The sequence below is a fragment of the Homo sapiens genome, chromosome 14, assembly GCF_000001405.40.
Source record: "Homo sapiens chromosome 14, GRCh38.p14 Primary Assembly".
NCBI lineage: Eukaryota > Metazoa > Chordata > Mammalia > Primates > Hominidae > Homo > Homo sapiens.
This window is the reverse complement of record NC_000014.9, coordinates 105,521,208-105,543,124: the sequence shown is the minus strand read 5'-3', so window position 1 is coordinate 105,543,124 and position 21,917 is coordinate 105,521,208. Positions and strand designations below refer to the sequence as shown.

General features: G+C 57.2%; 1 protein-coding gene, 1 long non-coding RNA gene and 1 pseudogene across 3 annotated transcripts, besides 1 other annotated feature; 1 reads left to right on the top strand and 2 right to left on the bottom strand.

Annotated features, from left to right (window-relative positions):
• ATP5MC1P1 (ATP synthase membrane subunit c locus 1 pseudogene 1) lies at positions 5,833-6,379 on the top strand (annotated as a pseudogene).
• On the bottom strand, positions 8,807-11,270 carry LOC105370697 (uncharacterized). The gene is made up of 2 exons (NR_135205.1): positions 10,606-11,270; positions 8,807-10,156 (listed from the first exon to the last, which is right to left on the bottom strand). It is a non-coding gene; the product is annotated as an uncharacterized LOC105370697 (long non-coding RNA).
• A 1,656-nt stretch (positions 11,271-12,926) lies between these two features.
• Positions 12,927-16,542, bottom strand: TMEM121 (transmembrane protein 121). Of its 2 annotated transcripts, none has more exons than NM_025268.4 (2): positions 16,472-16,542; positions 12,927-14,403 (listed from the first exon to the last, which is right to left on the bottom strand). In NM_025268.4, exon 2 carries the CDS (start codon positions 14,288-14,290, stop codon positions 13,331-13,333), a length of 960 nt encoding a protein of 319 aa, NP_079544.1. In that variant the 5' UTR covers positions 14,291-14,403; positions 16,472-16,542; the 3' UTR covers positions 12,927-13,330. The 2 variants fall into 2 exon arrangements, with proteins under 2 accessions (NP_079544.1, NP_001318167.1); NM_001331238.2 differs by lacking the exon at positions 16,472-16,542 and adding an exon at positions 15,687-16,020.
• Positions 14,675-14,884: a silencer, noted in NCBI's record as "silent region_6253". NCBI's record gives its function as "represses an Ori minimal core promoter by ATAC-STARR-seq in GM12878 lymphoblastoid cells {active_cell/tissue: GM12878}" and the evidence as "EXISTENCE:reporter gene assay evidence [ECO:0000049][PMID:35858748]".
• Positions 16,543-21,917: the final 5,375 nt, after the last annotated feature.

Below are 21,917 nucleotides of genomic sequence, written 5' to 3'. Positions count from 1 at the left end.
AAGATTAACTTTTAATAACTTTACTCATTTATTGAATGTATTCATAAATATAATTCATATTCTCCCAACAAGATATATGCTTTAGCATAATCTTAGTTCCTTGATTAATTCCTTATCCCGCATCATATTGATATTGTCTGGAGTTTTGGTTATGGGTAATTGTAGACATATTATCAATTTTTCATTTTCATGATATCTGTTATCAACAGTATATTATATAGGTATATATCATGATATTAACAATAACCTTTACTCGCTCTTTCTTCCTGTATCTCTTGCAACAGCTCCTGGGATTTTCCCTTCGTTTGCGAGAACTTTTTCCTACAGTGTTTTCAATGTGGTCTCTGTATAGCAAGTATTCTGAGGCCTCTTTTGCCTAAAAATGTTTTTAGTATACCTTCACATTTGAATTTAAAAATTTGCTGGATATAAGATTATAGGTGTAGGTTGGCCACATGCCTGTAACCCCAGCATTTTGGGAGGCTGGGGTGGGAGCATTGCTTGCAGCTAGGAGTTCAAAACCAGCCCGAGAAACATAGGGAAACCCCATCTCTACAAAAAATTAAAAGATTAGCCAGGTGTGGTAGCACATACCTGTGCTCCAGGTACTCAGGAGGCTGAGGTGGGAGGATTGCTTGAGCACAGGAGTTCAACGCTGTGGTGAGCTGTGATTGAGCCACCGCACTGCAGCCTGGGTGACAGTGCAAGACCCTGTCTCAGAAAAAAAAAAAAAGGTATAAAGTGGGTTTTTTTGATACCTTAAAAATAATTTGTAGTCCTCTTGCATTTTTGAATCATGTTGAAAGGTCTGAAGTCGGTGTGATTCTTACCCTTTATCCACCACTTGCTCTTCCATTAAAACTTTTTCCTTCTTTTCAACATTTTTTAAATATTCCCTTTTTTTCCTAATATTCTTCAATTTTAATATAATTGTGACTAGGTACAGGTTTTCCTCATATCATCTTTTGGATTTCTGTGGCGTCTTTCATCCCTAATGTTTGAAAATCCCTCTCATCTTTTTCTTCTGCTCTGTCCTCCCACCCACTTCTCTCCTCACAGTCCCTGTCCTTCTTCCTGCATGCTGGCCACTCTGCCAGGATTCCTTCCCCTCGTCTGTCACTTCGCAGATTGTTTTCCTCGGCTGCGTCCGTCCCACTGAATTTCAGTTACCACATTTTTCTCAATCATTATTTTGATACCTGATATTCCTACTTAGTTCTTTGTGCTCCCTGTTATTGCTTTCTCCCTGTTATTGCTAATATCTTTCCTTAATTCTTCAAGGATGTTACCGCATTTGTCTTTAATTCTTTGCCCAGAGGGTCTCATACTCCTGCTGCACACAAGTCATGCTGTGGAGGGTGCTGTTTTTCTTTCAGGCGCTCTTCTCTCCAGGCGTCTTGTTACTTTGGCCTGGGAGGGCATGTGCCCCAGAGGGGCTCAGTTCCTCTGTCTTGTGGTGTGGCCTGGGGAAGTGCTGAAGGCCGCAGCCTGGTCTGGGTGGGTCCTGGCAAGCTTTGGAGAGAGGAAGGGGGAGCAGAGAGGCCTCATCACCCTGGCTCAGCCGGTGAGCCGTCCTATTTCTTGCCCCACCACCAGGCTGCCCTCTAGCCGGGCTTCACCTTCCAGTCTCCATGATGGAGAAGGCTGGAGGCGGTGGTCTCCACAGTTGCAGCCCAGCCCTGGAGACGTGGACGGAGTGGGCAGGTGAGGGAACGGGAATGCGGCGGGTGTGCTCCAACTGGGATTTTCCATGGAAGGTCTATCTCCAAAGGAACTAGAGGTGAGAGTGGGATGAGTGGGATGCGGAAACCGCGAGGGTCAGCACAGGAACCTAAGGCTGTCAGCATCCGAGCTTTGCAGCCCAAGACCCAGCAAGGCGAGGGTCCGGCACAAAGGGAAGCTGTGTGGACCCAGCCGCCTCTGGAGGAGCAATGGTCTTGGGAAAGTTGTCAGAAACAAAATGGAATCAAAATGAGAAAAAAAAATCTGACAAACAGAGCAGAAAGGAGACGGGCAGAGAGGGGTCAGGAAGGGAGAACCAAGGTGCCCTGCAGCCTGATGAGGCTCACGGAGCCGCGTTGGCCCACAGGTTCCCCAACTCCTCCCCACAGGGTTGCCACCACCAGGAAGCATCCAAAGGATGCCAGTGGCAGAGGCCCAGCTGCCCCCACCAAGTTTCGCCAAGAAAAGGTCAGTCACGAGAGCAGAAGGCAGGGAAATGGTTCCCGAGGGTTCCCTCTGCCTCCCCGGGGCCTCCACCACAATCTGCAGCCCTCACCCCACATGGGGCCAAGACAGCATCCAGCCTGCCCAGGGCTCTGCAGCCCTAAGCGTTTGCCGCTGGAATCAATATGTCTTCCTATAAATACAGGTTCTCCAGGGTGATTTTTTTCATTTTTTTGAGACAGGGTCTTGCTCTGTCACCCAGACTGGAGTGCAGTGGTGCAATCATAGCTCATTCCAGCCTCCACCTCCTGGGCTCAAGGTATCCTCCCACCTCAGCCTCCCAAGTACCTGGGACTACAGGTGCACACCACTATGCCCTGCTAAGTTTTAAAATTTTTTGTAGTGACAAGGTATTGCCATGCTGCCCAGGCTGGTCTGGAACTCCTGGGCTCAAGCGATCCTCCTGCCTCAGCCTCCCAAAGTGCTGGAATTATAGGCGCAAGCCACCACACCTGGCCCAGAGTTGATTTTTTTTGTTTGTGTTTTGTTTTTGAGACAGAGCCTCACTCTTGTCGCCCAGGCTGGAGTGCAGTGGCGCGATCTCGGCTCACTGCAACCTCTGCCTCCTGGGTTCAAGTGATTCTCCTGCCTCAGACTCCCGAGTAGCTGGGACTACAGACGTATGTCACCACGCCTGGCTAATTTTTATATTTTTAGTAGAGATGGGGTTTCACCATGTTGGCCAGGCTGGTCTTGAACCCCTGACCTCAGGTGATCCGCCTGCCTCGGCCTCCCAAAGTGCTGGGATTACAGGCATGAGCCACCACCCCTGGCCCAGACTTGATTTTTTATTAACTTTCTTTGCTCCTGGCAGGACCAAAGGCCCTCATATTCTGTCTCTCAAAGTGGGCTCTGTGTGCATAAATGCATGGACATCATTTTACGTAGATTCTTTCTATATTATGTATCATAAAATTTTAACAGAAAAATGTATTATCAAATCACCTAAAAGCGCCAGGTGTGGTGGCTCACGCCTGTAATCCCAGCACTTTAGGAGGCCGAGGCGGGCGGATCACGAGGTCAGGAGATCGAGACCATCCTGGCTAACACGGTGAAACCCCATCTCTACTAAAAATACAAAAAATTAGCCGAGTGTGGTGGCATGTGCCTGTACTCCCGGCTACTCAGAAGGCTGAGGCAGGAGAATCGCTTGAACCCAGGAGGCGGAGGTTGCAATGAGCCAAGATCGCACCACTGCACTCCAGCCTGGCGAGAAAGCAAGACTCCGTCTCAAAAAAAAAAAACAAAAAAAAATCACTAAAAGCTGTGGAACAAGGAGGACACCTTAACTTATATGAAAATTGATCATCTGGGCCAGTTCTGAAGCTTGTCTCAATCCAGATTTGTCAGAAACTGGATCCAGTGAGCACCATCGCCTGCCCCAGACCCAATCAGCCAAGCATGGGGAGAGCAAAGAATTTCGAAGTTTAAAGTGTGCCATGAAGAACTGCTTTGTGTTGGATAAATAAGTTTAAATTATTTGAAATCTGGATTTTTATTTCTTTCTTTGTGTTTTGTGTGGGTTTTCTTGAGACAGGGTCTTGCTATGTTGTCCAGGCTGGAGTGCAGTGGCACCATCTCTGCTTGCTGTAGCCTTGACCTCCTGGGCTCAGGTGATCCTCCTGCCTCAGCCTCCTGAGTAGCTGGGACCACAGGCACGCGCAACCATGCCTGGCTAATTTTTAAAATTTTTTTAGAGACAAGGTCTCACTACATTGCCCAGGCTGGTCTCAAACTCCTGGGCTCAAGCAATCCTCCTCCCACCTCAGCCTCCCAAAGTGCTGGGATTGCAGGGGTGAGCCACAGCACCCAGCCCTCAGAAATCTTTTGTAATGCCCAGTGATGTTTGTAATGTGTTGATAACAGACACCAAGTCAGGGTCTCTCGTTCCTGAACACAAGTGGGACAGAGTCCCAGCCTTCTTGTGGCAGATGTCACCGTGAGGCTGGGCCCTGGACAACAGTGAGTGAGATAAGCCGGGGAGCTTCGACCGGGCCAGGCTGTCGGGGCCTCAGCCCGAGTGTGACCCAGGGCAAGCCAGGGTCAGTCTGCGATGAGCGTCAAGGTTCAGTGTGGACCTGCACTCAGGGCCTGGGACTGTGGGAGACACGTCCGTCGGGGACGAGGCCGAAACAAACAGCCCCAAGCGCTCAGTGGCTTCAGCAGCAAAGGGTTGTCTCCTGCTTGGGCTTTGGTGGGGAGGTGGGATCCACTCCAGAGCTCACTCAGGGCCCAGGCTGAGGCAGCCCCACCTTCCTTAGCCCACCCCGTGCAACCGCAGCCTCTCCGGACGCTGCAACAGGGAGATGCTGCTGGGCCATGGTCAGCCGGGAGGTGACACAAAGGTGGCGCAGGAGGTGATGCGGGAGGTGACACAGAGCTGATGCAGGTGATGCGGGAGGTGACACAGAGCTGATGCAGGTGATGCGGGAGGTGACACAGAGCTGATGCAGGTGATGTGGGAGGTGACACAGAGCTGATGCAGGGGATGTGGGAGGTGACACAGCTGATGCAGGTGATGTGGGAGGTGACACAGCTGATGCAGGAGGTGACATGGAGGTGACACACAGATGACACGGGAGGTGACGTGGGAGTTGATACGAACCCACTGGCCAGGCCCTCGCTGCCGGGGCAGGCAGAGGCAAGGGAGCAGATGAGTGTTCAGTGAGCAGAATCGGGCTCGGGTTCTGGTCAGGGGCATCAGCACAGCCTGGGGCTGGGGCAGCCTCAGCCTTTGGCCGCGCAGGGTCCTGTGGGGTCGGGGGGTCGGGGCACCACTGGCAGGTCCCGGTCTCACAGCCGGGTCCCGCGGCTCCCTCCTCAAAGGGACCCAGAGCCGGGCTCGGGAGCCCCCTTGTGGCCATCTGGCGACACTGCAGGCTCCGCCGGCGCGAAGGTCCAGAGGCTCCCGCATGCCCCAGCCAGGTAGGGTTCTCAGGCAGGTGAGCTTTGTGGGCAGCCTCACCTGCCAGGAATATGTGTGCCCCCTGCCTGCAGGCCAGCCTTGGCCACGGTCCAGTCCCAACATAATATCACTTGGTGAGGCCTACCCTGACCCAAGGCCTGCCTGAGTGGGGTCTCTCTGTGTGGCCCTGCCCCAACCTCCCTGCATCACACTCCACCCCACGCACCTGTGTGATACCTGTCTCCCTCCAGGCGTGGAGCCTCTCCTCCTAGGAGGCATCCCAGAGACACCCCGGGGGGCCGGGGTCACTCAGGTGCACCCCACAGGTGCAGGTTGCAGGTGGGAGAGCAGCACACAGCTGCTGTGTGGCTCCTGCAGTGGGCCCTGCCTCCCATGCTGTGGATTTGGCATCCGGTACACAGGCCCACTGCGCCTCACCATCCCCTCCAGGCCCACCAGCCGTTTCTGTGCAACTTCCCGCAGCAGCCTTGAAAGTGTTCACTGTGGGAACGCAACACGGACCAGCTCTCGAGGAAAGCACCCCCTGGGGCGGATACTCATGAGGGCGGGAGAAAGCTTTCCTCAAGGCTCACGCACTTTGAAACATGTTTCCGATGATCTCCACATTCAGCTTATTTCATAAGCAATGAGTAAAAGTGAGTCGGTCACCTTAGGTCACCTTCAGCCGGGCGAGTGCTGTGGGCCCGCAGGTGCTGCAGGGCAGTGGGAGTGCAGACAGAAAATGCAGACCCCCGGGCATTACTCACCTCTCCAGCTCTGGTCCGCTGTTGTACCACGGGTCTAATCAGGCTGTGTCTGTCTCCTTCTTGAACAGCCCAGAAAATTCATCTGAACAGCCTTCCTACAGCCGCTCCCCACACCAGGTGGCCAGGTGGGAGTTCCAGACCAGAGCTGTCTCCCGGGATGTTGACACAGCAGCCACGTTGATTGGTGTTGGGGCAGCCCCTGTCGGTGTGGCTGGCTTCGGGCCTGGCATTGGAACGGTGTCTGGCAGCTTGTTGGCTATGCCGGGAATCTGTTTCTCAAGCAGCAGCTCATCTCCGATGCCATTCTGGGCTTTGCTGTGTCTGAGGCCATGGGGCTGTTCTGTTTGGTGGTCGTCTTCCTCATCCTCGCCACGTGAGGCTCCACAGGGGTCACCTGCCTGTCCCTGCTGCCCGTCCCTACTCCACGCCATTCCTGGTGATGGGGTATGCTAATTTTTACCATTAAACACACGTTTCTCTCAAAAAAAAATTCTCCCCCACATAAATTTTACTACGAAAACCTGAACCACGGGCCGGTGCTCATCCATATCAAATTTCGCCAGTCGATGGCTTCCGTCGTCGTGAGTTTTCCTTCTCGGCCATTATGACCATCAAGGGCGACTCTGTTTTGTAAAATGTTGCAGCATTGCACTTTGTCCAGAGGATTTGCCAGCAGCAGGTGTGAGTGAGGAGGTGGTCCCTGGGCTCTCTCACTGCTGGGCAGGATGCAGGTTTGGGCAACGCTTGGGAGGAAAACACTGAAAAGTCCAGTAAAGTTACCAAGGTGCAGCAACACAGGAGGGCTCCCCTTCTTCCTCACCTGGGCATGCGGCACCCAAAGGCAGGTCCCTATTCCTGGCTCCCTGGCAGCTCAGGGCACTGGCATGTCTAAGTTCTGGGCAGCAGAGTGTGGGCAGGTGCCTCATGCCAGCTCCTGAGCCCCATCCCAAAGAGACCCCAAAAGCATGCCTCGTCAACCTCCTCCACCCTGGCTGTGCTGCCGCCGAGCCCTGATGGTGCAGCCTGACCTGTGAGAGCAAGATCCACACCCAGGACCCAGGGGCCACGAGTAGGAGGGATCTGTGTCCTGGCAGCCTGGACCACTGCCCAGACTCACCCAGGAGGGAAATGAATGTGTACGTTGACAAACACCACCATCATCCGAGCCTGGGCTATGGCTTGAGTGTCCCCTCCAAAATTCATATGGAAATGTAATTGCCACTATGGCAATATTAAGAGGTGGGGAGCTGGGCGCGGTGGCTCACACCTGTAATCCCAGCACTTTGGGAGGCCAAGGCGGGCAGATCACTTGAGGTCAGGAGCTCAGGACCAGCCTGGCCAACATGGCAAAACCCTGTCTCTACTAAAAAAAATACAAAAAATTAGCCAGGTGATGGCAGGCGCCTGTAATCCCAGCTACTTGGGAGGCTGAGGCAGGAGAATTGCTTGAACCCGGGAGGCAGAGATTGCAGTGAGTCAAGATCGCGCCACTGCACTCCAGCCTGGCGACAGAGCAAGACTCCATCTCAGGCCAGGCGTGGTGGCTCATGTCTGTAATCCCAGCACTTTGGGAGGCCGAGGCGAGTGGATCACGAGGTCAGGAGATCGAGACCATCCTGGCTAACACGGTGAAAACCCCATCTCTATTAAAAATACAAAAAAAAAAAAATTAGCCGGGCGTGGTGGCGGGCACCTGTAGTCCCAGCTACTCGGGAGGCTGAGGCAGGAGAATGCGTGAACCTGGGAGGCGGAGCTTCCAGTGAGCCAAGATCGCGCCACTGCACTCCAGCCTGGGTGACAGAGCGAGACTCCGTCTCAAAAAAAAAAAAAAAAGGTGGGGCCGTTAAGAGGTGATGAGGCCAGGCGGGTTCCACCCTCGTGGAGGGGTTAACGCCATTATCTTGGGGCGTGTTTACTATCTGCACTGTGGGTGGTTACGACAGCAAGCTGGGCCCTCTCTCTCTCACCCTTTCCTGCCCCTGCACCTTCCACGGTGAGCCGATGCAGCACAAAGGCCCTCGCCAGAGCTGGCACCTCAATCTTGGACTTCCAGCCTCCAGAACTGTGAGAAATAAATGTCTTTTCTTTGTAAATTAGTTCCCAGCCTGTGGTATTATTATAGCCACACAAAATGGACAGCCTGTTGCATTGGGGATTATGTTTCCACATAAGTTTTGGAGGGGACGCAAATGTTCAAAGCACAGCGGTCACCATGGGTTTCCTTTCTCGGGGGACAGTGTGATGTTAGCGCCCCTTCCTTGGCAGCTGCCCCAGCCCTCAGAGGACGGAGTCCATTCCACATCAGCCACGGAGTGAGGAGAGGCGGCACTGTCCCAGGGAAATCTGGGACCTCGTGCCAATGCAGGGTGGCGGGGGTGGGCATGGGCCGGGGGCTGCCGTGTGTCTGGCAACACTCCTGCCCACCTCCCCCTGTCTTGACCTCCCTCTGGCACCCAGGCCCCTTCCTCCTCCTGCCCCCGTCTGCCTCCCTCTGGTGTTCCCCCCACCTGCCCACTGCCTTTTCTACCCTCTCCTCACCCACCTCTTGACCCTCTGCACGCTTGGTCCTCACGCCCAGTGCGGCCCTAGCCCTGCTGCTGGGGCCTGCCTGCAGGTCAAGCCCCGAGGACAGAGGCCCTCCCTGACAGCCTCTGATTGGGGGGTGTTTTTTCCCTTCATCTTTCCCTGGTTAAATGGCAGTTACCTTGTTTTTGCAACAAATGAAGCCACCCATGTTTCAGCCAGGGTGGGAATGTGGCTTTGCAGCCTCTGCCACCATTCTGCGCTGGCAGTGACTCTGATGGCTTTTCCCTCGGGGGTTGCCACTTAGTGCATCTCCGTTATTTTACTGCATAAAACGAATCCAATAATGTTTGGCTTTCTTATTGCTTAAGATAAGTGAGTTCACTTTCGCTAAATTGAGTTTTTATTATTATGAGGCTGTTTTCCTATAGAAAATGTGAGTGTGTTCTGAAAGGAAGATGAAGGGTCGGAAGTTCGAGTATATTTTATCTTTTTGGGTGACTGATCTTCTTGTGTCTGCGATCAGACTCCGACGTCTCTTCCCACAGGCACGTGGAGGCAGGTCTGACGCAGCTCCCAGCCCTACCGTTCTAGGGGGATGAAGGGGGACACGGTCCCGCTCTCTGCAGTAAAGGAGAGTGGCTGGGGCTTTGGCCAGGGCAGCCCTGGGTAAGCCGAGCTGCAGAACTTCCCAAGGGCTCAGGAGCTGCCAGGCTGTGCTGCTGGAATCACCTAGGAAGAGAATTGTTGACACGTGCTTGGTGAGACAGAGCTGGAGGCTGGGTTGCTGCTGTGCGGGTTAAACTGGACGTTGCTCCGTGTGGGGGGTTAAATATGTGCTGGCGTTGTGTAGAAAGAAATTGATCACCATGATGGCTCTTATAGGATCAAAGGCAATTTGCAAGCTCACAGCTTTTGCAGAATGTGAACCTGGGCCAAGTTGCAGAGTATTTTTGATGTCACACTGCGGCCTCCTGGGTAATGGCAGAGGGAGGGTGGGCTCCTGCCAGCTGTGTGTGCTGCATCGCCAGGCACTCCCGTCGCCCCCACGGGATTGTAGGCAAGAGGAGCCACAGCTGAAGCTCATGCTGAGAAACAGGGCCCTTTGTCTCAGACCCACGAGTCTCGTGTCTTCTGGGGCATCCATGATACCACGGGCTCACCTGTGGGCAGGCAGCCAGTCATGACACCCATGTCCCCTGCCAGCGGAAGTGTACACATTGTCCTGGAACAAGCTCTGGACCACAGGACCTCAGCAGACACATTCTGGGGGCTTCTGAGAAGGGTTTTCCTCCCAAGGAGAGGGAGGCACCCAAGGAGGAGCCGTCCCTCCTTCCCTCACGCGGATGACATTTTGAGACAATGTGATGCTCGCTGCTGTTGTGGCTCCATCACCAACCCCCCCAGATGGTGAAGAAAGATGGGCTGAGCCTGGGTCCTCCATGGCCAGGTGACCCTGGAAGGGCTCACCTCAAACTTCCACAGAGTGACCTGACAGTGTCTTCACAGCTACAATCTGCCATGTCCTTCACAATTAGAAAAGAGCTCACTCTCATTCATCTAGGGGAGGCGACTGGGCTGGGGCTTTCTTGATGCAGCTTCAGCAGCACCTGAATTCCTGGTGGCGGTGGAGCTATGGTGGGGCATGCACGCTGCATGGATTCCTGGTGGCCGCAGGGCAGGGAGGTCTCTGCTGGTGTAGAGGCAGACTAGGCCACGAGAGGGAGCAGAGTGCCTGCAGACAGCCCCTTTCTCAGGACAGGACCTCCACTGCCCAATTTCTCTCCCCCACACACACGCCTCCCTTCCCAGCCAAACCACACTGGTGCACCCAGCTGCATCTCCGTCCACACCCTGCTCAGCATCCCAGCCCCGCCTCTTCCCTCTGAGCTGCCCACTTCTCCCCCGGGCCCTTTCTGCTCCCTTTGCTGGTGAGCTGCCCACCACGGCCCTCTCAGGCACTGACACACCCAGCTCTCTGCCTCCAGGCTGCTGCACCTGCGGGCCTCCCTCGAGGCCAGCTCCCAAGTCCAACCCAAGCCCATCTGAGGAGGCCTCCCTGCTCCTCCCAGGCCCTAACTCCCCAAAGTGTGGCTGTCCCCAGACGTCTCTGCCTGGGTTGGGCACCAGGCCCCAGCACAGGGCCAGCGGGTAGTGGACACGCATCAGGACTCACGTACTCACCAGGAATCAGTGAGGGGACAAGGGAGCTGACTGGCTTCTCCGTCGAATCTGGCCATTGCAGGACACCTCAGGAAACTCACGAAGGGCAGGCTGGAGTGCGGCCCGGTCCCCGTCCTGTTCCCAGGGGAGATCACAGAGGCCAGAAACCTCAGGCCGTGAGCCTGACAAAGGCCCCCTGCTTCCCAGCCCTGCCACAGTCGGAGCCACAGCTGCGCCTCGTCGTGGAAACCAGGTGCCAGGCATGGGCCTGGGCAGGGTGGGGCTTGATGTCTGCTCCAATGCCCTCAGAGTCAGTTGCAGAGGCGATGGGCCATTGAACCAAGTCATAGCGGGTAGAGCCAGGATCCCTGGCCCCACTGGTGAGAGGGGGGACAGCCAGGACTTGGACCTCCACTGCCAGGGATGTGGTGGCAGAGGTAGAGGGCACTGGCCTGTGCCAAGGAGCACGGAGACCAGGGACCACCCCTGAACAGGCCAGGAGGAGTGGGGTGTGTGCAGGGTAAGGTTGCCTGGGGAGGTCTTCGAGCCCCAGGGCCTTCACTGCCCCAAGAGTAGCTAAACTAGGGGAGTAGCTAAACCAGCCTCTGACTAGGGGGTGTGGGCTTTCAGCTTTCACAGGCCAAGCTGGGCCCAACGCCTCCCAGACTGCAGCCAGCATGGAAGAGACCATGGGCTTTCAGGAAGGGTCAGAGCAGGATGTCAGGAGCCCAGAGCCCCTCAGCTCCATTCACCCATGGCCACGCTGCCTGTCTGTTCCCATGGGATTTGCTGCAGGTGCCAGAGCCAAGATGATTGTGGGCTCGTCTTCACCCAGGAGACCCTTAAGGCAGGATGGGGCCGGCACTGGCTTCAGCCAGGGGAGGAAACAGGCTCCAGCCCAGACAGGCAGAATGAAGCTCGCCCCTCACCCACTACCCCCCACTCCAGACCACTCCCTCCCAAGAAGGCCCAGGTCCTCCCACTGGCCCACGCAACTCCCACAGCCCCTCTTCTCTCTCCATGCCAGGCCTGGGGCCTTTCCACGGCTGCTCATCACCGCCCCTCCCCGGCCCCCCAGCCCCCTTGATCCTGCAGACCTTCCACTTCCCAACACGATCATTAGTGGCCTGGGCACAGCCCAGAGCAGGGCGCCTCTGACCTCCTACCCAGGCCAGCGCCCCGTGCCCACCCACGGCGCTCGGCGCTTGGAGGGGCTGCTGGGGATATGATCGGAGGCCGGGGCCAAGGCACGGTTTTAGAGGTGGGCAGAGCGCCGGCCACGTCTGACCTGGACAGCGAGGTAGTCCCCCTGCCCGGGACCCTGAGGACAGTGGTCCCGAGGCCAGCTGCCTGGAAGGCAGGCGACTTTCAAAGGCCAGACCCCAGGTGGCCTGGAGCTGGGGTATGAGGACTGTGTGGGGTCGGGGTGCGGCTGGGGCTGCCACCAGCCACGCCCTTAACTGCTGCAGTTGTTGGGAAATGCACTTGGGGAGGACCCCACTTGAGCAGCCAGCTCCACTCCCCTCGATGGTTTTAGCCCTGGCTGGCTAAACCTTGCCACCTTTGGGCCGTGGAAATGCGGGAAGCGAAGGCCCAGGCAGTGAACTGTGCCACATGAGATGTGTGTGACCATCACCCGCTCATGGAGCGGGCATCCTCAAACAATTCTTTTAGCAGCCTCATAAAGGGCCCCTCCCCAGATGCTACGGACCTTCCCAGGCCAGGTGGATACCCAGGGCCACATCACAGGTACAGGGTCCCAGGTGGAAGGCAGGTGAGAGACCCCTTGCAGATGGGCTTCAGGGCGGGTGCTGCCTGTGCCAGGGGCTGCCAGCTCCCGTGCTGGGGCAAGGCCAGGATGGTAAGGTGGGGCCAGGCTCCGTGCTGCTCCTGGGGCTGCGACCTGGGGCTGCCACATCAACTTGGGAACACCCTGATTCCATCTGGCTGTGGCTGTCCTGGGCTGGAGGAGCCCACAGGGAAGGTAGGTTCCACGGTGGGGGAGAAGGAAACCAGGGATGTGGGAGACACTGTCATGCCTGAGGTTGAGGGGAGCAGGGGCCAGGACACCTACGGTGCTGGGGGAAGATGGGGGTCAAGGTATCCCAGGAAGATAATTGGGAACACCGAAGCTGGAGTGGAGGAGCTGTCCCTGGGACAGAGCGGCAGTGGCCCCCAGGAGCTCCTGAGAGCCCCGGAGGAAGTGGAGCGGCCCAGCCTCACCAGCATCCGGCACTTGGACGCCACCATCTCCCCCGCCCTCCACACACCCCTCCTGGCTCCCCGCCTCCCAGCCTGGCTGGTAAACACAGGGACACAGGAACAGGCAAAGCAGTGCGGCCTTGGATACAAAACTGTAAACACGAGTCTTTAAAATGACAGAGGCCTCCTTGGCCCCAAATCTGAGCCAGAGGCCCCCACCGAAGGAGCAGATCTCCGCCCACACTGCCCTCCCTTCCAACCCGGGCGGCCCAGCAGGCAGGGGCCGGATCACCTCTGCTCTGCTCCGGCCCAGGCCTCCCAAACAGACCCACGCGCTGGGGCGGGCTGGTGGAGCGGGGGCTGAGGATCCGCGGTCCGAGAGATTCCTGAGATGAAGAAGCGGCCGCGGGACCCCAGGCACGGGCACTCGAGGCACCTGTCCCTAGGGGAGCCCGCCCCCACCCCATCCCATGCAAACCGCGCGCCCCAAGCCAACCCGGTGTCTCTGCGCCCCAGGGGCGTGTCGGGGGCCGCGCGGGCCCTGTCACGTGTCCAGGGGGTCACGCGTGGGCGAGGACATGTGGGGGCGCCCAGGCGGGCCGTGCAGCGGCGGCGGCGGCGGCGGCACCGAGTTGCGCTGCGGGGGTGGCGGCTGCAGCTCCAGTGATAGCGCAGGCGGCGGGAAGTCGCGCACCTGGCGGCGGTACTCCAGGAAGGTGCAGGCCTTGGTGGCGAGCGCCACCACGTTTTTGCCGACGAAGATGGCCGAGACACGGCTGTCCCGGAACAGCGCCATGTTGGCGGCGCGCGCCAGCACGGCCACCACATTGACGGTGGCGAGGCTGAGCACCGGGTACAGCATCATCTTCTGCGGCGCTATGTGCTCGCCCTGCATGCTGACCTCGCTGAGCGCCACGCACGGCAGCACCAGCAGCAGCATGTAGCAGTAGAAGAAGGTGAGGCCCTCGGCCCACAGCGGCAGCCCGGAGCGCGGCGGCTCCCACAGGCTGGCCTGCATGTCCAGCAGGTCCAGCAGGTCCAGCGCCACCCAAAACAGGCGGCCGCGCAGGTCCTCGCGCTTGCGGAAGGTGCGCACGTACTCCATGCGGTCCAGCGCCACGAGCAGCAGGAACAGGCCGGGCACACACACAGACAGCAGCAGCGTCAGCGCCTTGCGCGCCACGGGGTCCGCCGCGCCGCGCCGCGCCGCCTTGTAGTTCTGGAAGATGAAGTAGAGCTTGATCTCCAGCACGAAGATGTAAAGGAACCACAGGATCATGGCGTAGCCGCGCTTGGCCGTGCGCACCTCGGCGCCCACCCACACGGCCACGTAGCGCAGCACCAGCAGGAAGCACACGTCGCCCACCAGCACGATGATGCACACGCCGATCTTGCGCGGGCCCTGGTTCTGCTCCACCAGGTACGCGTCCATGACGGCCATGCTGCCCATGATCACCAGCGTGGTCAGGCACACGTGGCGCCGGTCCGGGGGCGGCAGCACCATGGTCGGCCGCCGGGCCCCGGCCTGGGCGCGCGCGGCCCCCACGCCTGGCGGGACGAGGCCCTGCGGCGCTCAGCCAGCGGGCATGGCGCGACACGGCCCGGCGAGCTCGAAACCTGGGGAGACCGGAGGAGACAAGATCAGGGTGCGGGCTGGAGCGGCCTCCCCCAACACCCCCCGCCCCCCGCACCCCGCGTGCTTCCCACCAGGCGCGGTCTCCGCGCCGGGGCCCCGAGGCATCGCGCACGCCTGCGCCCATGCGCGAACCGGCGGCCGCGAACCACAGCGAGGCCTCCAGAGGGCGCTGCTGCCTCGCCAGAGCACCCGGGCCTCGTTCCCGCCGCCAGGAAGGAAACGGAACGGACGCGTTTTCTGCCCGCCGAGCTCGTTCCCGGAGCCCGGGGGGGTTTGTCACTGCTGGGCCCGCGCCGCCCTCCCTCCTGGCTCCGGCGGCCCGGACCCCACGCCCGCGCTGCTGGCCTCAGGCCGTTTCCGCGGAGTTCCGGGAATACCCTCTCCCCGCCGCCGCACTGGGCAGGGAGGCGGGCCTGCCCCTCCGCTCTTGGAGTACCCAAGGAGGCCTCGGCCCTCCCAGGCTTTCTGATCCCGGACCGAGAGCCACCCAGGTCCCGATGCATCCGTCCCACAAGCCTCTCCGAGCCTCCCCGCCCCTGCCCGGCAGCCCCCACGCCCCTCCTCCCTGCACGGGCAGGCTCGGTCTCCCCTCCTGTCCACCATCCTGGGCGCGTGGCCACTGCCTGCCCTGCTCCCCATGGCTCCGCATTGCCTTGGCGAGGTGTTGTCCCCCACCCTCTGCCCCGGCAGAGCCACCCTGCTTTGCTCCTCTGCGCCAGGGCGATGCCTGTGGCTGCCCTCGAATCTCGGGAAGCCCGTCCACCAAGGCCCGTCGGGCTTCCACAGGCCCCTGCACCTCTGTCACACACCTGGCACTGGTCCTCATGGCCGTGCTGTCGGAGTCCCCGCACCTGGGCCTGTGCACACCTGGGTGACAATGGAGGCCCGCACACCCGCACCCACCCCAAAGTCACTGACAGGCTTACTCCCAGCCAGCCCCTCACCCCCTCCACAGCCCCAGGCCTGGGGCTCCGTTTACTGCCGTGTCTAGACAAAGGCATAAAATTTAATGTCCCCGTGACAGTCGGGCGCTCGGACTGCCCTGGTGACACCGCAGGCCCCACCGATCCGGGAAAGCGTTGAACTCTGCACTCCCACCCCTGCCCCCACCCAGCACCCGCCGCCCAGGATCCCCACAGCCACACACAGGACACCCCCACCCCTCGGAGCTCTGACAGGTCGCGAGGAGGGTGCCTTGAGGGTCCTCAGCCCATGCCCCTGCCTCCAAGCCTCCCCGCGCTCTGGGTCCCACCGGGACACTCACCCGGTTTTCACGTCCACTGGATCTACACGTCTGACCCAGGAAGCCCTCTCTGGGCCCATTCCAGGCCCACCTGGGCCTCCCCTAGCTGCAGCCGCAGCCTGAGAATTTCCTCCCTCTCCGCGCGTGGCGGGGCCAAATAAATAGCGGGGGAGCCACGGCGCCGCTCACCCTTTCCGGCCGTGCCTCCAGCCCCTCCGCCCCACTACGCTGTCGCTCGATCCTCAGTCACTTGGCAGATGCGGGCCGAGGGGCTCTGCGCTGGCGAAGGGACGGACTCCAGCCCCTAGCGGAGCCCCTACCCCGGCAAGCCAGAGCCCGGCCCGGCCACCTCTCCGTAGGGACCTGGCCCCAGGCCCACCTGTCCTGGGTCTCCTGGGCCCCGGCCGAGGCCCCTCCTCCCCCCACGCCCCGCGGCTCAGACCTGGCACAGACTCTGGGGCCTCCAGGCCCTTCACTGCCCGGGCCCCGCAAGGACCCTCGCCCCATAACCACCCCTCGGAGCCCCCGGGAGGAGGGGCGGGAGGGGGCTGCTGTGCTCCCGCCGCGGGCCGGTGCAGAGCTTGGGCCGCTCCCAGCAGGCTGCGTCTCTGCTTGTCCCCCCGAGGCTTCCCCACGCAGGGCCGGGTCCCCGTCACCCCGCCGGCCCCAGGCCTCACCCCTGCCGCATCGGCCCCCGCCCCACCCCACAGTCCCCACGGCCCAGAGGTGCAGGGTCGCCCAGGCCCGCCGCCCCCTCCGCGGACGCAGCCGCGCACCCAGCCAGTCCCGCCCGCGCCCGCGCCTACCCCGCCGCCCGCAGATGCTGCGCCGCTCCCGGGCCCGCCCGCCCAGCCTCTGCCGCCACTGCCGGGGCCGCGCCGGCTCCTCCCGCCGCGCCCCTCCCCCGCCCGCGCGGCACCGCCCCCGACCCAGAGGCCCCGCCCCGCGCCCCTCGGCCCGCGAGCCCCGCCGGACCTGGGGACCTGGGAGCGCGGGGGTGCCGGTGCCCCGCCCCCTCCGCAGCGCCGGTTGCCACGGCGACAGCACCGCGCGGCGGCGCGCAGGACTGGTGGCTCTGGGGAGCGGGGCGCCCTCGCGCACCCCCAGGCGCGGAGTCCCGTCTCCACCCTCCTCACCCACCGCCCAGAATCCCAGGGTCCCGCCCAGTGCCCCCCGCGCCCTGAAACTCCGCTGCCGCCCCCTAGAGCGACCCCACTCAGCCGGACAGGCGCCCACCGGCCCAGGAGCTGACAGGGATGTAGGCGCGGGGCTGGCCTGGCCGCCGGGGCCCTCCGCGCCACCCTCTGTCCTCTTTGGGGAGAAACCCAGCCTTCCCAGGTTTCTTCTCAGGGCAGAGGAAAGGAATGATGAGCGGCCCCCACCTTCTTCTCCAGCCCGTCCAGGAGGCAAGCTAGGGTTTGGGGACTTGGGCTTCATTTTGTCACTGAGGTGGCACTAAGCCCCTCCCCCCACATCCTGTCCATCCCGTGTGAGCCAGAGAAGAACCCGAGGGCACCTTCTGCCTGCCTGCCCTCCTTCCCAGAACTGCTGTGACTTCCCTCTGACATAGGAGGAGACTGAGGGTCAGAGAGGTAAAGGGACACCAGATTTGGTGGAAAGACCAGAATTTGAGGCACCACCCAACTGGTAGTGAACTTCCAGATTCTCTTCCCGTATCCCCGGGCCTGGACTCAACACGGCCTGAAAGCCAGAAGAGGACAGAGAGCTCCAGAAGTTCTCTAGTCCTGGCACAAGGGGAGGAAAGAAAAAGGTCGCCTAATGCTCCCAGGGTGCAGGAGAATGCCCGGGGGGATGTTAGGGTTTGGGAGGATGGGGTTTTTTGGTAGTGGTTGTTTTTTTACTCTTCTCCATTCTCTGATGCCCCAGCCCCTAGGTATCCCACCAAAGCCATGACCAAGGCATAGGGTTTACAAGCACCTAAAACGCTGAGGCAGAAGAGCCTTCCTTTCCAGCCCCAGGAGATGTGGTCCCCTGTCGCTGGAGAGATGGTGGGCAGGGAGAAGCAGTAGAAAGCAATCCATGGGCTGGGCGTGGTGGCTCACACCTGTAATTCCAGCACTTTGGGAGGCCGATGTGGGCGGATTACCTGAGGTCGGGAGTTCGAGACCAGCCTGGCCAACATGGTGAAACCCCCATCTCTACTAAAAATATAAAAATTAGCCGGGCGTGGTGGCACACACCTGTAATCCCAGCTACTCGGGAGGCTGAAGCAGGAGAATTGCTTGAGTCCGGGAGATGGAGGTTGCAGTGAGCCGAGATCTTGCCACTGCACTCCAGCCTGGGCAACAGAGTGAGACTCTGTCTCAAAAAAAAAAAAAAAAAAAAAGCAACCCCAGGAAGTTGTGCAAGCCATACATGATGTACAAGTCTAAACCCTCATTCACATCCCAAAGGCTGAGAACTGAACAAAAGGACAGCCCACTGCCCACGTCCCACACTGGCCACTGGGCAGTGCATACGAAGGACAGATCTGAGTCCCACTGCAAAGGCTTTGAAAACAAAACCGACATGGAAGGCAGGACCCACAGGAGCCTATTTGAACTTGTGGCCTGAAACCAACTAGGTTGATTGCATGATAAAACAAAATGCCAACATTCTCAATGGGATTTAAATAAGACCAGTCTCATAACATAATGTCTAAATGTGCAGGAGACAATCTAAAATTACTCTGCATGTGAAGAATCAGGAAATCCAACCTGCAAGAGAAAAGACAATCAACAGCCGCCAATGCCAACATGACACAAAAACCCTCAACTAATTATCAGCAAATAGAATCAAGCAGCATTAAAAACACACACACACAAATACCCCAACCAAATGGAGGCTATCCCAGAAAGGCAAGGCTGGTTCAACATGTGAAAATAAATCGATGTGATCCACCATATTAGTCTCAAGAAGAAAACCATGTGATCATCTCAATCAATTCAAAGAAAGTATTTGACGGAATTCAACACTCATCCCTGATAAACACTCTCAGCAAACTAGAAAGCAAAGGGAACATGCTTAATCTCATAAAAGGAATCTACAAAAAGCAACAACAAAAACAACAGGCCAGGCATGGTGGCTCACCCCTGCAATCTCAACATTTTGGGAGGCCAGGAGTTCAAGACCAGCCCGGGCAACATGGAGAGATTCCATATCTGTTATTTTTAATTAAAAAAAAAATTAGGCCAGGCACTGTGGCTCATGCCTCTAATACCAGCATTTTGGGAGGCCAAAGTGGGCGGATTGCTTGAGCTTGAGTTCAAGACCAGCCTGGGAAACATGGTGAAACCCTGTCTCTACAAAAAATACAAAACAATCTGGCCGGATGTGGTGGCTCACGCCTGTAATCCCAGCACTTTGGGAGGCCAAGGCAGGCAGATCACCTGAGCTCAGGAGTTCTATGCCAGCCTGGGCAACATGGCGAAACACCATCTCTACTTAAAACACACACACACACACACACACATTAGCAGGGTACAGTGACACACACCTGTAATCCCAGCTACTCAGGAGGCTGAGGCATGAGAATCGCTTGAACTTGGGAGGCAGAGGTTGCAGTGAACTAAGATCGCACCACTGCACTCCAGTGTGGGCAACAGAGGAAGACCCTGTCCAAAAAAGAAAAAAAAAAAAAAAAAAAACCTCTGCATCTAATGTGATACTTAATAATGAAGGACTAAATGCTGAGCCCTAAGATCAGGAACAAGGTAAAGATGTCCACTCTATTCACTCCTGTTCCACAGTGTACTGGCAGTCCTAACCCATGCAATAAAACCAGAAAAATAAAAGGCATACAGATTAGAAAGGAAGAAATAAAGATGTCCCTATCCATAAATAACATAAAAGTCTATGTCGAAAATCCCAAGAATTTTACCAACAAAAAAGTCAGAATACTAATAAGTGAGTTTTGCAAGGTTGCAGGATGAAAACACAGAACTCAGTCCTGTTTCTATATATTAGCAATGAACAATTGAAAACCAAAATTTTTAAAAGCAATGCTATTTAAAATGGTCCCCCAGTAAATTTATTCGTTTGGTATTAATCTAACAAGACTGGTACAGGATTTGTATACTGAAAACTACCAAATGCTGATAAAAGAAATCAAAGAAGGCCTAAATATGTGAGAGGCATGCTGTGTTCCTGAATTAGAACAAATATAGTTAAGATACCAATTCTCTCCAAAACGACTACGGATTTAATGCAATTTCAATTAAAATTCCTGTCGGAAATTTTATAGGTATAGAAAACCTTGTTCTGAAATGTATATAGAAATGAAAAGCAACTAGTTGCCAAAATAATTCTGAAAAAGAAGGGAAAAAGTTGGAGGGTTCTCACGAATGGATGTTTTTGTTGTTGTTGTTTTTGTTTTTTTGGGTTTTTTTTTTTTTTGAGACTGAGTCTCGCTCTGTAGCCCAGGCTGGAGTGCAGTGGCATGATCTTGGCTCACTGGAAGCTCTGCCTCCTGGGTTCATGCCATTCTCCTGCCTCAGCCTCCCGAGTAGCTGGGACTACAGGCGGCCGCCACCACGCCCGGCTAATTTTTTGTATTTTTAGTAGAGACGGAGTTTCACTGTGTTAGCCAAGATGATCTCGATCTCCTGACCTCGTGATCCACCCACCTCAGCCTCCCAAAGTGCTGGGATTACAGGTGTGAGCCACCGTGCCCAGCCATCACTAATGGATGTTAACTCACCATAAAGCTAAAGCAATTGAGACAGGCTGAATTGGCAGAGGGTCAGCCGACAGATCAATGGAACAAGTGCACCCACACAAGCATGGCCATTGATTCTTTAACAGATTTATTGAAATATAATTCAAATACCATAAAATTCATCCATTTAAAGGGTACAATTCAGGCCAGGCGCAGTGGCTCACACTTGTAATCCCAGCACCTTGGGAGGCCGAGGCAGGTGATCACCTGAGGTCAGGAGTTCAAGACCAGCCTGGCCAACACGGTGAAACCTCACCTCTACTAAAAACACACACACACACACACACAAAAATTAGCCAGGCGTGATGACCCACGCCTGTAGTCCCAGCTACTTGGGAGGCTAAGGCAAGAGAATCGCTTGAACCCAGGAGACGGAGGTTGCAGTGAGCCGAGATCATGCCACTGCACGCCAGCCTGGGCAACAGAGCAAGACTCTGTCTCAAAATAAATAAATAAATAAATAAAGTGTACAATTCAGCCAGGCACAGTGGCTCACTCCTGTAATCCCAGCGCTTTGGGAGGCCAGGCAGGAGAACTGCTTGATCCCAAGAGTTCGATGCCAACCTAGGTAACATAGCAATACCTCGTCTCTACAAAAAACACAAAGGGTAGGTGGGCATGGTGGCGCATGCCTGTAGTCACAGCTATTTGGGGGGCTGAGGTGGGAGGATCGCTTGAACCTGGGAGGTTGAGGCTACAGTGAGCCGTGGGAGCTGGGGCAACAGAGTGAGACTCTGTCTCCAAAAGCAAAAGTGTACAGTCTGGGCACAGTGGCTCACGCCTGTGATCCCAGCACTTTGGGAGTCCAAGGAGGGCAGATGACTTGAGGTCAGGAGTTCGAGATCAGCCTGGCCAGCATGGTGAAACCTCGTCTCTACTAAAATACAAAAATTAGCTGGGCGTGGTGGCGCACACTTGTAATCCCAGCTGCTTGGGAGGCTGAGGCAGAAGGAGCCTAGCTTGAACCCAGGAGGCGGAGGTTGTAGTGAGCCGAGATGGCACCACTGCACTCCAGCCTGGGTGACAGAGCAAGATAAGAAGGAGAGAGACAGAGAGAGAGAGAGAGAGGGAGGCAGGGAGGGAGGGAGGGAGAGAGAGGGAGAGGGAGAGGGAGGGAGGGAGGGAGAGAGAGGGAGAGAGAGAAAGAAAGAAAGAAAGAAAGAAAGAAAGAAAGAAAGAAAGAAAGAAAGAAAGAAAGAAAGAGGAAGGAAAGGAAAGAGAGAGGAAGGGAGGAAGGAAGGAAGGAAAATTTTACACATGTCATAATCAATTTTAAAAGATTTTCATCATCCCCAGAGCCAGTAGCATTCGCCCCCCTTTCACACCCACCCAGAGCCAGTAGCATTCGCCCCCCTTTCACACCCACCCAGAGCCAGTAGCATTCGCCCCCCTTTCACACCCACCCAGAGCCAGTAGCATTCGCCCCCCTTTCACACCCACCCAGAGCCAGTAGCATTCGCCCCCTTTCACACCCACCCAGACCCAGTAGCATTCGCCCCCTTTCACACCCACCCAGAGCCAGTAGCATTCGCCCC

What these genes read in the sequence shown, in the direction of transcription:
- TMEM121 (NM_025268.4), bottom strand. Translation starts at nt 14,290, where the DNA reads ATGGTGCTGCCGCCCCCGGACCGGCGCCACGTGTGCCTGACCACGCTG.